Consider the following 16,890-nt stretch of genomic DNA (forward strand, 5'->3'; position numbering starts at 1 on the left):
TCTTTTTCATAATGGTGGTACTAATCTACATTTCCACAAACGGTGTACAATAGTTCCTTTTTTCCCCACACTCTCACTAACATTTAAAATTTGGCTTTTGATAACAGCCATCCTAAAGGGTGTGTGGTGACATTTTATAGTGGTTTTGATTTGCAGTTCCCTGATGATTAATGATGTGGAGCACCTTTTCATATACCTGTTTAATATACCATTTTTATGTCTTCTTTGAAGAAATGTCTACTCAAGTCTTTTGTTCATTTTTTTAATTGGGTTTTCTTTTCATTGAGTTGCATGAGTTCCTTATAAAGTTTAGATATTAACCCCTTATCAAATATATGGTTTGCAATTTTTTTTTCCCAATCCATAGGCTGCTGTTTCATTTTGTTGATTCTTCCCTGTGCTGTGCAGAAAAATTTTAGTTCGATCTAGCCGTATTTATTTTTGTTTTTGTGGCCGATATTTTGTGGTATAATATCCAAAAAAATCATTATTAAGGACAATGTCCAGGAGCTTTGACCCTATGTTGTCATCTAGGATGTTTTGTGTATGGTGCAAGGTAAGGGTCCAATTTTATTCTTTTTTTGTTTTTTTTTTTTGTTGTTGTTTGTTTGTTTTGTTGTTTTAATAGAGAAAACATCTCATTATGTTGCCCAGGCTGGTCTCAAACTCCGGGGCTCAAGCAACCCTCCTGCCTCGGCCTCCCAAAATGCATGAATTACAGGCATGAACCACTGCACCCAGTCCAATTTCATGACTTTATTCATGCAGAAATCCAGTTTTCCCAGAACCATTTAGTAAAGAGAATATTTTTTTTCTCATTGTGTCTTCTTGGTGCTCTTGTTGCAAATTAGTTGCTCATATATGTTTGCATCTATTTCTGGGCTCTCTATTCTGTTCCACTAGTCTATGTGTCCATTGTTATGCTAGTATCATACTGTTTTAATTGACATAGACTTGTAATATAATTTTAAATCAGGAAGTGTGGTATCTCCAAATTTGTTTTCCTTTCAGAGAATTGTTTTAACTATTTGGGGTTTTTTATTATTCCAAATAAATTTTGGAATTTTTGTTTTCTATTTCTATGAAGAATGCCCTTGAGATTTTGCTATGGATTACACTGAACCAGTATGTTGCTTTGGGTAGTTTAGGCATTTTAACAATTTTAATTCTTCTATTCCATGAGCATAAGATATCTTTCCATTACTTGTGCCTTCTTCAGTTTTTGTCATCAATATTTTATAGTTTTCAGTGAGCAGATCTTTGAACTCTTTTGTTAAATTTATTCCTAATTATTTTATTTTTATGTTATAATAAATAGGATTATTTTATTGATTTCTTTTCCGTATGTTAACTTTTGCATGTTAATTTTTTATTCTGCAACTTTATTGAATTCATTTATTATTTCTAACGTTTTTCATGGAATCTTTGGAATATACATATAGAATAATATAATCTGAAAATATAAATAATTTTAGTTCTCCAATTCTGATTTGGATGCTTTATTTTTTCTAATCTGATTGCTTCTGTCAGTACTTCCATTACTATGATAAATAAAAGTGGCAAGAGTGGGCATCCTTACCTTGAACCCAATCTTACTGGAAATGCTTTTCATTTTTTCCTATTGATTATAATGTTAGTTGTGGGTGTTTCATAAATGACATTTATTAAGTCAAAAAACTTTTTTCTATACCAAAACAGTTGAGAATATATTTCAAGAAGAAATGTTGGACTTTGTTGAATGCTGTTTCCATATTAAATAAAATAATCTTGTGGCTTTTAACTTTTACTCTATTAATGTGATGTAGTACATTGGTTGATTTGCATTTGTTAAACCTGCTTCACATGACAGAATGAATCTCACTTGATTATAATGTATAATCTTTTTGATGTGCTATTGGAATTGTTTTACTAATATTTCATTGAGGATATTTGCATCAATATTCATCAGAGACCTTGATTTGTAGATAATTTTTGTCTTGTGATGTCTTTGGCTTAAGTATCAAAGTGATTTTGGCCTCATAAAATGTGTTTGTAAGTATTCCCTCTAGTTCTATTTTCCAGAAGAATTTAAGAAGTATAGGTATTAATTTTTTTGAATGTATGTTAGAATTCAGCTGTGAAGCCATCTGGTTGTGAAGATGTTTTGCAGGTAGGTTTTTTAGTACTTCTTCAATCTCTTCATCTGTTATTGGTCTGTTCAGTCTTTCTAATTCTCTTTGACTCAATCTTGGAAGGTGTGTATTTTCCTAGGAACTTATTTATTTACTCTAGGTTATCTAATTTGTTGTTATATAATTATTATTCAGAGTCTCTTACGATCATTTTTTTATTTCTGAGGCATCCATTGTAATTTATTCACTTCCATTTTTCATTATTTTTGCATTTTCTCTTTTTATATTAAACTTGCTAAGCATTTGTCAAATATTTATTTTTAAAACTCTTAGTTTTTTCTTTTTATGATTCTTCTGTTCTCAATTTATTTATATTCTGATTTTTATTATTTCCTTCCTTCTGCTAATTCTAAATTTAGTTTGTTCTACTTTTTCTGGCTTCTAAATGTGTAATGTTGGACTATGTGCTTTGAACATCTTTTTAATGAGGCATTTATTGATATAAATTTTCTTTTTGAACTGCTTTTTCTGCATCCCATAGGTTTTGGTATGTTGTATTTTCATTGTCATTTTTCTCAAGATATTTTTAAATTTCTCTTTTGATTTATTCTTTGACATTTTGATGGCTCAGGAGCATATTGTTTAATTTCAACATATTTGTGAACTTTGCAAGCTTCTTCCCATTATTGGTTTCCAGCTTCATAACCTTCTGGTCTGAAATGATACTAGATAATATTTAAATCTTCTTAAATTTGTTAAGACTTTTTTGTGGCCTAACTTATGGTCTGTCCTGGAGCATTTTCCATGTACATTGGAAGAAAATGTGTATTCTGCTACTGTTAGATGAAATAATCTGTATATATCTATTAAGTCTATTTGATAAATAATTGAATTCAAGTCCGGTATTTCCTTATTGACTTTCCGTTTGGTTTATCTATTTATTGTTCAAAGTGGAATACTGAAGTTCCCTATTATTAACATATTGCTATCTATTTCTCCCTTCACCCTCATTATAATTTGCTTTATGTACTTAGGTGCTCCAATGTTGGATACAGAAACATTTGCAGTGGTTACATCTTTTTTACAAACTTACCACTTTATTGTTAAATAATAACCTTCTTTGTCTCTTGTGACAGCTTTTGTTTTGAAGTCTATTTTATCAGATATAAGAATAGCCACCCCTGCTCTCTTTTGGTCACTATTTACATGGAATATCTATTGTCCTTTCATTTTCCACTATGTTATCCACAAAGCTTAAGTGGGTCATTTGTAGTCAGCATATAGTTGGATATTGTTTCCTTTTTTATTAATTCAGCTATTTTACGTCTTTTGAGAAATTAATCCATTTACATTTAGTGTTCTTATTGATAGCTAAGGACTTACACTACCATTTTGTTATTTTCTAGTTGGATTGTAGCAGATTTCTTCCTCTCTTGTTGTCTACCTTTGTGATATTATATTTTTCTATGGTGCTAAGCTTTGATTTCTTTTTCTTTATCATTTGTATATCTGCTGTAGCTTTTTGTTTTGTGGTTAATATCCAGCTTACATAAAACATTTTATAGTTATAATCTACTCATTTAAACTGATAACTTCTGTCACATAAAAAATGTTATACATTTACCATCCCCACAGTTGATGTTCAGATGTAATAATTTGCATCCTTTTATATTGCATATTCCTTAACAACTTATAATACCTTTAGTTATTTTTGACTATTGTGCCTTTAACTTTTATGCTGGAGATATGTATAATTTATAATTCATCTTTACAGTATTGGAATATTTTGGATTTCACTATGTACTTTTCTCTATCAGTGAGTTTTATATTTTCATATGTATTGATGATGGTAAGTATCATCCTTTTGGTTCTGCTTGAAGAACTTCCTTAAGCGTTTCCAGTGAAGCACGTCTGGCCATAATGAATTTCTTCAGCTTTCGCTTATCTGTGAAAGACTATTTCTCCTTCATTTCTGAAGAATTTTTTTGGCATAGTAGTAGTATTGGCAAGCATTTTTGTTTTGGTTTAGTTTAGCTTGGTTTTTGATATTTTCTTTCAGAACTTTGAATATATCATCCCATTTTCTCATGGTCTGCAAGACTTCTTCTGAGAAATCCACCGATAGTCTAATGAAGATTTCTTCATCTCTGACATGATGCTTTTCTCTTGCTTCTTTTAAGATTTATCTATTTGTCTTTGACTTTGACAGTTTGATTATCATGTGCGTTGAAAAGAAAAAACCTCTTTGGGTTGAATCTATTTGAGAACCTTTGAACTTCATGGATTCAGGTATCCCTATCTTTCCTAAGACATGGAAAGTTCTTTTTTTTTTTTTTTTTTTTTTTTTTGTGAGATGGAGTCTTACTCTGTCACCCAGACTGAAATGCAGTGGTGCAATCTTGGCTCACTGCAGCTTGCATCTCCCAGGTTCAAGTGATTCTCCTGCCTCAGCCTGCCAAGTAGCTTGGATTACAGGTGCCCACTACCATGCCCAGCTAATTTTTGTACTTTTAGTAGAGACAGGATTTCACCATGTTAGCCAGGCTGAACTCGAACTCCTGACCTCAAGTGATCTGCCCGTCTCAGCCTTCCGAAGTGCTGGGATTACAGGCTTTAGGTATTCTTTTTTTCTTGTCTTCCTCAATGTACTTTAGTTTTAAATCTTATTTTTAGCAACCCATAAAACCCTATCAGTTAAAAACATTTTATGCTTAACTTTGTTCATTTTAATTCACATGTCCTAATGAGCAATAAGCTAAGATTACATATCAAATGTCCCTCTATTAATAAAGGAAACATAGATGCTTCAAACATGAGAATTTGGAAAATTGAAGCTCTTCTGAGATTCTCACATTTTTAGAATAACATTTACAAAATTAAGCCTGAAATTATGTTAGATATTGTACTAGATTTATTTAATTTATGGTCCCAGCCAATAACTTTCCTGTCCTTATATCCTGTGGAATGTGAATTCTCAAGTTCCTTACTTCAAGAGGTAAAGTTTCTTTTTTCTTTTTTTCATCATCTCTTGAATATGAGCTGAGCATAGTATATACTTTGACTAATGAAATGCAGCAAAAGTGAGTTGTGTTATTTTAAGATCCAGGTCTCAGAAACCTTGTGTGCTACTGTTTCCATTGGATTTCTGCCTCAGGCCTGAGACCAAGTCTGGACTAGCCTGTAGGAGGATGAAAGAATATATGGAGGAAAGCTAAATCTCGAGCATACAAGCCCCAGTCAAGATCAGCAGAGCCTGTTCTACAGAAGGAAAACTGCCTAGTTAACCAATAGGCTGGTGATAAATAATAAATTGTTTTATTTCTAGAGTGATTCGTTATTCAATGACAACTTACCAATACAAAGCTCTATTCTTACATGTTGACTGCATATAAATCTCTCATTCAAATAGTCCACTCCCAGAGCAGTGTCTAGGTCAAAAGATCATATAGAAAAATAAAAAATAATGTAAAAATAGCTATAATAATGTGAATGGATCTATAAAGCAGTATTTTTTAATCTACATTTGTCACCCAGTCACCAAACTTAAATACCATGAGGCCCCACTCACTCCAAACTTCAATCCAATTCCAATTTACACACATTCTTCAATTTTTACTCCTATTAATTCTGCATTATACATTCTAAAACAACTCTACAAAAAATACAAAAATTAGCAGGGTGTGGTGGCCGCACGCCTGTAGTCCGAGCTACTGGGGAGAGTTAAGGTTGAAGGATCACTTGAGTGCAGGAGGTTGAGGCTGTGGTGTGCTGAGATCACACCATTGCATTCCAGCCTTGCACTCCAGCCTGGGTGACAGGGAAAGACCACGTCTCAAAACAATAAAAAATATAAAATAAACTAACTAATAAGTTCAGCAAGGTTGACAGATTCAAAATCAAAATACAAATATCAATTATATTTCTATACACACACTGAACAATCTGAAAATGAAATTAAGAAAGTAATTCAGTTTATACTAGTATGAAAATATAAAATAGAAATAATATAAAAAAAGAAGTGCAAAACTTACACTCTGAAATCTACAAAACATTGTTAAAACAAGTTAAACCTCTAAATAATTAGAGAAACATTCTGTATTTATGGAATCAAAACACTTAACATTGTTAAGACAGCAACACTCCCAAACTGTCTACTGCTCAACAGATTCAATGCAATCCCTATCAGTACCCCAAAAGATTCTTTGTCGAAATTGACATGCTGCATCTAAAATTCATATAAAATTGCAAGGGACCCAAAATAGTCAAAATAATTTTGAAAATGAATAACAGGGTAGAAAGCTTCACACTTTCATATTTCAAAATCTAAGACAAAGCAACAATAATCACCACAGTGCAGAATTGGCACAAGGATGTAAACAAATGGAATACAATTGAGAGTCCATAAGTAAAGCCACACATCTTTGGTCAATTGATTTTTAATCAGGGTGTCAAGATCATGCAATGAGAAAAAGAATGGTGTTTTCAACAAATGATGTTTCGTCAACTGTGTAGCTACATGCAAAGGAATGAAGTCAGACCCTTAACTAACACATACACAAAAATTTTCTCAAAATAGTCAAAGACCCAAATAGAAGAGCTAAAGCTATAAAACTATTACAAGAAGTCATGTGGTAAGCCTATATGATGTTGGGTTCAGCAATGGATTATTAGATATGACACAAAAGGCAGAAAAAAAAGATAAGTTGGACTTCATCCAAGTGAAAAAACCTTTTTGCTTCACAAGACACCATTAAGACAGTAAAAAATACAACCCATAGACTGGGAGAAATATTTGTAATTCATACATCCGATAAGGGACTTGTATCCAGAATATATAAATAACTCTGATAACTCAGTAACAAAAGGACAATCCAAATAAAAATGGGAAAAGTATTTAAATAGACATTTTTCCAAGTAAAGTATACAAATAACCAGTAAGCATGTGAAAACATGCTCTATTAGACATCAGGGAAATGTAAATCAACCCACAATGAAATACCACTTCACACCCGCTAGAATGGCTAGTATAAAAAAGTCATACAATAACAAGCATTGGCTAGTGGTAATGTAAAAAATGTTGCAGTCACCTTGGAAAACAGCCTGCACTTTCTTAAATTATTAAACAGAGAGTTACTATATGGTCTATCTATTCTAAGTTACATGACACTTAAAAATCATATCACTAGTTATATACCTCTATAATTCTTACATAACTAAGAATTATATACCTAAAAGTAATGAAAACATATATCCACATACAAATGTGAACACAAATGTATATAGCAGCTTTATTTATAATAGCCAAATTGTGGAAACAGCCCAAGTGTCTATCAGTTGATGAATGAATAAACAAATGGTTGTATATTCATATGATGAAGTGTAATTTGGGCATCAAAAAGGAATAAAGTAATCTTGGGTGCTGGGGCAGAATGCTATATATTTGAAATCAAAACTCATGTGTTGAAACCTAATCCCTAAGTTGATGGTATTAGAAGGTAGAGCCTTTCGGTGGTGATTAAGTCATGAGGCCTCAAACCTCATGAATGGGATCAGTGCCCTTATAAAAGAGACCTCAGAGAGCTAGCTAAATCTCTCTACCATGGTAGGACACAGCAAGAAGGCACACTCTGTAAGCCAGAAAGAAGAGCATCACCAGACACCAAATCTGCTGCTGCCTTGATCTTGGACTTCCCAACCTTCAGAACTGTGAGAAATAAATGTCTGTTGTTTACAAATAATCTAATTTACAGTACTTAGTTATAAAAGCCTGTATTGACCAAGAATATTGCCTATTATATAATTTTATTCAGATGAAATGCCCAGAAAAGGTAAATCTGTAGAAACAAAATCAGATTACAGTTTTCCTGAGACTGGGTAGAGGTTGATAGCTAAACGGTACAGGCTTTCTTTTCAAAGTGACAAAAATGTTACACAGTTGACAATGGTGATCACAGTTGCACACATCTGTGATTATGCTAAAATTCACTGTGCACTTGAATGGTCAAATCATATAGCATGTACTATATTTCAATAAAATTGTCAAAAAATAAATGATGACTTGGGTTTTTTTTAAATTGCATCATTTATTCTTGTGTGATTTTTCTTTGTAACTCCAAAGAGCAGAGTTTGAGAGTTTCTATTGATTCCACTTGGTATTTTGTGTTTTTCTTTTTAAATATTCCTAGTGACTGTGCAGTATTATTACATTGTGATTTAAACTTCCATTTTTCTGATGGCAAATAAAATAAGCATCTCTTATGTTTACTGTGTAATTTTGACACTCTCCTTTTGTGAAGTGCCTGTTTAAGGCCTTTATCCATTTTTCTGTTGTGTTTTTTGCCTTTCTCTTAAAGATTCATAGAAGTTCTTTATATATTCTGAAGGCAAGACCTTTGTTTGAAATACATACTGCAAATATCTGCTTCCATTTTCTTGCTTGCTTTTACACCCTTTAATAATGTCTTTTACTAAACAGAAATTATTATTTTAATATAGTCCACATCACAACTTTTTTTATAGTTAACGCTGTTGATAGCCTAAAGAAATTTTGCCTAGGCCAAGGTCATGAAGATACTCTCCCGTGTTTTCTCTTTGAAACATGAATGATTTTTTTTCATATTTTCATGCAAGTAAATATATAGCTTGAAATAGACATCAATATTTTGTTTCCTTTTTCCATATGGGTATCCAATTAGCCCAGAATTAATTGTGAAAAAAAGTATGTCTTTTCCTCATTAAATTGCTGTGATACCTTAATCATAAATTAAATAACAATATATCTTCAGGTCTATTTCCTGGCTTCTGTTATTTTTGACTTGTAAGAATTGTATATTTGGCAGTTGTTGGAAGCAGTAGTGTCAAACAAATATTGTTTTGGGCAATATAGTATTGATCAGGTTATTTATGTCTTTACAGATTTTTTAAACTATATGTTTTATTAATTGCTCAGAAAACAATGTTAAACTATCTGTGAAGATTAGAATTATTCTATTTTTCCATTTATTTTTTGAAAATTTCCACTTTGTGTATTTTGATGTTATTTATTTTTCAAGTGTAAAAAATAATAAGTAGATTATCTGGGATTTTCTTCACATGCAAGTATTAAATTTTAGATTTTATTTTTAAAAACCACTACAGGACTATTATTTTCTTTTTTTTTTTTCAATTTATTCTTGGGTGATTTTTTGTAACTTGTATACATAAGATAACTGTCCATTTTATCTAAGTTGTCAAATTAATTGAAATTATTTCTTTTTATTATTACATTATGATTTTATCATCTTTAAGTTGATAATTAAGTTGTTTATAAGTGTATTGCATAATTTTGCAAGTTTGGAGATTTTCTAGGTTATTTCAATGTGGTCAGAAACTATAATTTAAATTATATCAATTCATTGCAATTGTTAAGGCTTATTTTATAAAGCAGCATATTGTCAGTCTTGATGACTTTCTTATGTGCATTTAAATAAAATGTACTTTTTGTCATTGTTGGATGCAGTGTTCCATACATTCCAATTAGAACAAGTTTGATTTCAGTGCCCTTGTTTCACTTTTCCATTCTTATGGATGTTTGTTTCTTTTGTTCACTTTCATCTATCAGCTACTGAAGGAGATATGTTAAAGTGTCAAACTGTGAATGCGACTATCTACCCCATTTGCTTTTACAAAATGTTGCTTTACATATTTTGAAGCTCTGTTATGGGGTATATGCAGGTTTTGAATCAAAACATGTTCTTCATGGGTTGATATCTTCATCTTCCTGAAATGTTCCTTTTTAGGTCTAGTGATGCTTTTTGCATAAAAATTTGAGGCAACCAATAGCACTAATAAGTATATACAGTCAGGGAGAGAATTAATGAATTGGAAGTTAATATTGAGATATCATGCAGAGTGTTGCACAGAAGCACGATACTAAATATAAAAGGCAATTAAGGCATGTGGAGGTTGAGATAATATTTTCTAACATAATTACCTTTTATATGTTTTCCCCAATTCTCTATTTTTTTAATATATTTCTTTTCACTCATGGATTTACCAGCTGCCATATTTTCTATGTATGTAATAGCCATGCATAAAAAGTCATGTTTTTGTTTTTCTATAAGAGCCATATGTCACTCAAATTCATGTTATTTGTGTTGCAACATTTGTAGCCCCAATTGTTGAAACCTGGGCAAGGCCTATCTCATGCCTTTGACCTCACCATTTCAGACTTCCTCTTTTTACACTGTCAATTTCTCTTGATTCTTATGGTTTTAATATTTCTGAGTTCCTAGATTCCATCAACATGAAACTACAACAAAACCATTATTTTCTTGGCAAAACTGTGGACATTTCCAAATATATACCATGCCCCCTCCTCCACCGGGAATCTACTCTATAACCTCAGCAGCCTGATTTGTGTTAGATGATGACAAGTTTGGCAGCAAAAGCTATTTTAAAAGGAGTTAGTGAAGAACAGTTGGTTTAAGTTTTACCTTTACCTGATTATCAGAATCATACTTTGATTAGCTCATATGTAGTTACCTTTTTAAATGCAAGATGTACAACGCTTGTATTTTTTTCCTTATCTGTCATACTTTTTGAAACTATGTTTTTTTCTTATCCACATGAATAAAATCAAGTACAATAGTTGCCCTTTATCTATAAAGGCAGTTTATCTATAAAGTAAAAGAGTTTTACTTTCCATGTTTCAGTTGCTCACAGTTAACTGCAATTCGAAAATACCAAATGGAAAATTCCAGAAATAAACAATGTATAAGTTTTAAATTGAAAGCCTTTCTGAGAAACATAAGGAAATCTCATATCAGCCCACTCCACTTTGTCCCACCTGGAATGTAAGTCATCCCTTTGTTCAGCATATCCAGTTGTCACTTAGTAGTAGCCTCACTTATCAGATCAACTGTAATGGTGTCACAGCCCTTGTTTTCAAGTAACCCTTACTTTGCTTAATAATGGGCCCGAAGCACAGAATGAGTGATGTTGGCATAATGTTATAATTTTCCCATTTTATTACTATTGTTCCTAGTTTTGTACTATGCCTAATTTATAATTAAACTTTATTAAATGTATGTAAGTATAGGAAAAAATATAGTATATGTAAGATTAAGTACTTTCCGCGGTTTTAAGCATCTGTTAGGGTTCTTGGAATGTATTCTCCCGTGGATAAAGGGGGACTACCGTGTTTGTCTAGCTCTGCTTCTTCAAAGGTTTTAACAAGTACAGAACTGTGTTATACATTTCAAACTTAGTTTTTTAATCACCTAGTAGCATTATGGGTTTCAGTTTAAAGAAATATCACCAAGATAAGAGACTTAGTGAAATTTTACTACTTATTGAGAGTGAAGAAGGCAATTTCAGGCAAAGCCAGATATCTGATAGTAAATCTAATTAGCCCCGTATCAGCTCTTCTTTGAAAATACAAGCACCATGCTGTTAGCAATAAACTGAGATTCTAATGCCTTTCCAGGACTCCCAATTACAATGTTAAATCCAAGTGTAAATAATTAAATGTACATATATTTAACCTGAATTGCCCAATGGCCATGCTGTCATCACTTTCTGCCTCCCACTAAACTTTGTCAGTTGTTGGTAAAATAGCAACATGGTAATAAAGAAAAGGCGGAAGCAAAGGTAGTTAGAACATGATAGGCTCCACAGTGCTTAATCCATAAAGCAGGAAACACAAATTGGTGAACTGGAGTGATGACATGGTTACACTGAACTACAGAAAGAGGCCCCTTAGGGGACTAGCAGGAAGTAAATTGGGTTCTATTTTGAGATGATGGTTCATTTACATTGTTGTAATTATTTAAATAATTAATTTCATAATGAGAGAAGCTTATAAAAGCCAAAGACATGCTGAGCTGCAAATCTAAAATTCTCTGACGCTAAATCAGAGGCGTTTGTCTTCCATAATACGTACTTTATTATTTTAAAAATGGTATATAGTCTTTCAGTATTGCAGAGGCTGACTTGATAGGGTTTTCTTCTAACCCAGACCAAGCAGAAAGAAGTTTTTTCCTTGCCAAGAAAACATGAAATGTTCATTCACATCCAGCTTAGGCAGCCAAGAGCCCTATAAAAAATATAAGGAGGATATGCAAGGTCAGGACCAAGGAGTCTGAAGGAGCAGAAACTTGCCAGAATGCAGTGAATCTGGTCTGTAAGGCAACTGTCAGTCTATAATAAACAGGTCAGACTAGGTGTGAGTCAGAGCATATTAGATAAAGGCAGTGAGTTAAACACTGCAAGGTTAGGTGAGATGGATAACCCTAGAGTCTCAGGAGGTTTTGAAAAACAGAAGGTCAGCAAAGACTGAGAATGTAGGAGAGAAACACTACAAAATCAAACACATAGAAGGAAAATCAACTTGACTTTATGGCAGATTTATTTTTTTTCTTGCCCTGTCAGAAGAAAAAAAAAAAAAAAACGAGTGTAATTCTAGGCATGAGCACTTAAATGAGACATATAAGGGGAAAGTTTGAAAATTCAATAAATAAATAATTATTTTTCTAATCTCTTTTGTAGTCTCTCCTCATAGGGATATCTTTACCTCCAATTCTTCGGTGATGTTAACACTGATATACTCTCTCTCCAAGAAACTCAGCATTTGCCCTGCTCTCAATTCTGTGCATGTAACAATAATAGCTTCATTGTTCTAGTTTTGTCTCTATGCCGTTGACCTTCACTTTTATTGCACTTTAGCCATTTGCTTCCAATACTGCACCCTCAATTTTCTCATTTCCTGAACTGCTCTATCCCTGAAATCGTAAACACATGCTATTCCACTTTCAAGCAACAACTGCCTATCCTTCACCTAATTTCAAACCTCATCACTGTTCTTCAACCTCACCAAGATTTACAGATACTTTATTCCTGCTTTCTCTAAATCTTTGCAGTTTCTGTTCTTCCTTGCTTCCTTCTTTGGTTATTTCTGGGAAGCAGGATAACATAGTGGTTAACGGGATAACACAGTAATAAAGAATGCCTGAGTTTGAACTCCAGCTTCTTCGCTCTTTAGAGTCAATCTAAATAACAGAGAGAGGTTTTCTTAAACAATTATCTATTCGAAAATAAGACATTGCAATGAGAACATGCATACTATAGTAAAAGATGTGCATATTCATGGAAGTAAAAGAAGACAAAGGTTTTTAAAGGAAAAACATGAGTATTATATAATTATTTTGCGAGAATTATTCTTGGCTATAAGGATCAGTAACAAGGGTGGCTCCATTCTGGGGCTGGACAGGCAGTTGCTGGGAAAATGTCTTCCCAGAAGTGTTTTTTTTGTGTAAGGTTGTAAGGACGTTTGTGAGAAGTTGTGGTTTTTGCAAAGTATTTTCTGGTAGTTTTTGTTATCAAGCACTTGCGCTTGAGAACCCTCTCTTCATGGCCTTTCCTGGCTCTGTTTGTCAGGGTTTGTTTTATGTTTTTGTTGTTTAACATAAATAACTCCATTTTTATTCTCACAGCATTCACATTTCTCCCTTTTGACGAAGATCTTTCTCTAAAAGCCTCAATGATTAAGCATCCTGTAGTTAGGTTTGGATTGTTCATCAGCATCAGGGTGGACCTGTCCCAGGTTTCTGGTCTGGTCCCAAACTGGAAGAAGTAATTGGCAATGTCAAAACTCTTTTAGCAACTAGAGAGGTTTGAAGGGAGAGACTTTCAGGTTAAGTCCACCTGGAGTCCATTATGAAGTTCAATTTTGTCTGTTCCATGGTCTTTTGCTATCATCTCAAAGTGCTGGGTTAGCACTAGTCTGTTAGGAGTTGTACTTCTGCAAAAATTTACTAAGTAACAGATACAAAGCTTTAAAAGGGAAATACAAAGCAAAACTAATAAGTTACATGACAATCCCAGTTTGCCTAATGATTTTGAGCTGTGAATTTAGGCTTAAAGGCTAACAATTGAATAAATCAAATGATCATTATCCAGCCAAGTGAAAAGATAGGCATTAAGAGAGCTTGTCTCATTATGACATGGAGCCTTATTCTGATGTTTAGATAAAAGCTGTCTACAGTGTGAAAACATCAACTTCTCATTCTGGTTTGCAGTTTGAATGTTTCTGGCTAGGACATGGGGCAATTTGGTGAACTTTTGTGTGGCCCATACATTAAGCATGAAACTTGTGTTTTAAAATTATAAAATGATTCTCATCCACAAAATACTCATATATGACAGTTCAAAATTAATTGCTTCCTAGGTTTGCATGAGAAAATGTTACTAAAAGTTAAAATTCCAACTAATATAATGCAATTCTGTATATAAATTGTACCTAAAAAGTAAGATGTGTTTTAATGAGAAAAATCATATGAAAGGCATAAATATGTGCTCTTTATTGAGGAAAAATCTTAATTTTGGCTAATTTAGATATTCTTTAAAGTTTATTTCAAAAAGTAAATTTAGGAAGGAAATAGAAACAAGATGGAAAGGACCCAGTAGGTAGGAAAGAGAAATGTGAAGAAAGTTATGAATGTGAAAAAGCATTTTTGTTAAGAAAAGTCAAAAATAAAAATAATTTGTATAAAAAAGAAAATTTTGTGGTAAATTTTTGTCCTAAATTAAAATGACTGTTTATTTAAGAAAGAGGAATTATAGGACAAAGCAAAAGTCCACACATGTCATCAAAGGTTCATGCAGGTTGCCAAAGGTTTGTGAAGGATGCAAAAGAAATTTTGTGTATGCCCTAGTTGGCTATAATTTGAAGGGATGTATTTATAAGTCTTTGTAAAGATTGATGTTTGATATTAAAAATACACTGATGCAAAACTAATATTTAGTGTTTAACTTTTACGTTCAGGGGTACATGCACCGTATGTACAGGTTTGTTACGTAGGTAAACGTGTGTTACGGGGGTTTATTGTACAGGTTGTTTCATCACCCATAGTTATTTATTTAGAAACAAGACTTTTCTGAAATATTGATCTACTCTCAGAAAATCTGCAAAAGATTTTGATCTTGAATTTCTGTAGCTTTTTTCTGTTTTATGGACTTCATTTAATTTCCCTAGTTTCAGGTTTGTAATGCTTCTTTTTTATTTAGAATGACAATTTTATATCTGGAGATAGAATTTTCCTCTTGAAGCTTCTCAGATTCATATCTCAGAAGTTCATGTGATTTGCAGTTCATGCATCATTGCCTTCTGCTCTTCGTCTTTCTCCCCTTGAGAAGGTCTGAGACAATAACTTTCTTCAACTTTTTCATTAGCTCTTGTAACATTTTCCCCCAGTTCTAACTCTGCTCTTAGGGCCTGATGCTGAAATATTAATCTTAATACCTAAAAAAGCAATCTTTTCCTCTGGTAAAATTTGATTCTGTACTCTTAGCTTTTTTTGACATGTCTAAATTGTTTCATCTAACCGGGAAATTTTACATGCTTTTACTTTTTCTAAGATCTGTGTATTCCCCTGCTCGAGGTACTAATTTTGTCATTTACATTCCTCAATAATGTGGTACACACTCACAACCTTGGACACACATTCTTCTGGTTAAATTCAAATACCTTTTCATCAGGTTCAACTTCCAGGAGTCACTTATGGAAAAAAACAAAATGTACACAAACAACAAAATGTACACAAACAGCAAAAAGCAACAATAAAAAAAATTGACAAATAGAGCTAGGAAAGGTAATAAAGAGAAGATTCTCATGCATAAATGCCTCATAATAAAAAGCATCACAAAAGACCACAATCTTGCACAAGTGCCATCACAACCTTACACAAAAAAACAACTACTGGCCAGGCGCAGTGGCTCACGCCTGTAATCCCAGCACTTTGGGAGGCCGAGGCGGGTGGATCAGGAGGTCAAGAGATCGAGACCATCCTGGCTAACACGGTGAAACCCCGTCTCTACTAAAAATACAAAAAATTAGCCTGGTGCGGTGGTGGGCGCCTGTAGTCCCAGCTACTCGGGAGGCTGAGGCAGGAGAATGGCGTGAACCCGGGAGGCGGAGCTTGCAGTGAGCCGAGATGGCGCCAGTGCACTCTGGCCCGGGCCACGGAGCGAGACTCCGTCTCAAAAAAAAAAAAAAACAAACAAACAAAAAACTACTTCTGCAATGACATCTGCCTAGCAACTGCCTGTTCAACCCCAGAATAGAACCACACTTGTTCTTGTAGCCAAGGTAATAATTATCTCAAGGTAATTATGTAATCATCCTCACTTTTTTCTTAAATCTTTGTTTTCCTTTACCTCCCTGAATATGCACACATTTACTATGGTGTGCATATTTCCATTTCCAAATAAATATCATTTTATTTTAGAGAGCAACTCCCCCTTTGTTATTTAAGCTGATATAAATGGTGTCCAGAAGAAGACCTCAAGAAAGATCACTTCTGGTAGAAATTAGCCATTTCTAGAACTAGTGTGTAGTACCCATTTGAGCCCTTAGAGCACTCTGCTTCCATAGCTCACCTTTTCTTCCATGGTGAGTCTTCTTTCAGGTTGAGCCATCCTCTTTTTGCTTGAAGATTTTGACTTTATTCAGGATCTGATTTGGAGAAGGGAGTCTTACCAGACAACCTTCCATCCCGCCTGAGATGGTGAAAGACTGCCTTTTCTGGAAAGTTTGTATCTGGTATAAAGACAAATGTCTTTCTGGTGTGAGTGCTCTTATTTTTACAGAATTTATGTTCTGTCGGTAAAGCATGTATTCTTTGACAAATTTACTTTGGGTTTTTTCTGAGACCAAAAATAAACATTTTAAAAAGCCGGTACAGAATGGCTAGTTAAAAGCCACCAGGGCAGCAGCTATCACCATCTAAAACACTGGTCCAAA

The 16,890-nt window shown here is 33.4% G+C and overlaps 1 long non-coding RNA gene across 1 annotated transcript in view; it reads right to left on the minus strand.

Annotated features, from left to right (window-relative positions):
• Positions 1-16,581, minus strand: part of LOC107984478 (uncharacterized) — a 55,308-nt gene extending 38,727 nt beyond the window's left edge. The window contains exon 1 of the long non-coding RNA XR_001749242.3: positions 16,527-16,581. This is a non-coding gene — a long non-coding RNA (uncharacterized LOC107984478). The remainder of the gene's footprint in view (positions 1-16,526) is intronic.
• Between the last annotated feature and the right edge of the window lie 309 nt (positions 16,582-16,890).

This window comes from Homo sapiens, chromosome 12, assembly GCF_000001405.40.
Source record: "Homo sapiens chromosome 12, GRCh38.p14 Primary Assembly".
Taxonomy (NCBI): Eukaryota; Metazoa; Chordata; class Mammalia; order Primates; family Hominidae; genus Homo; species Homo sapiens.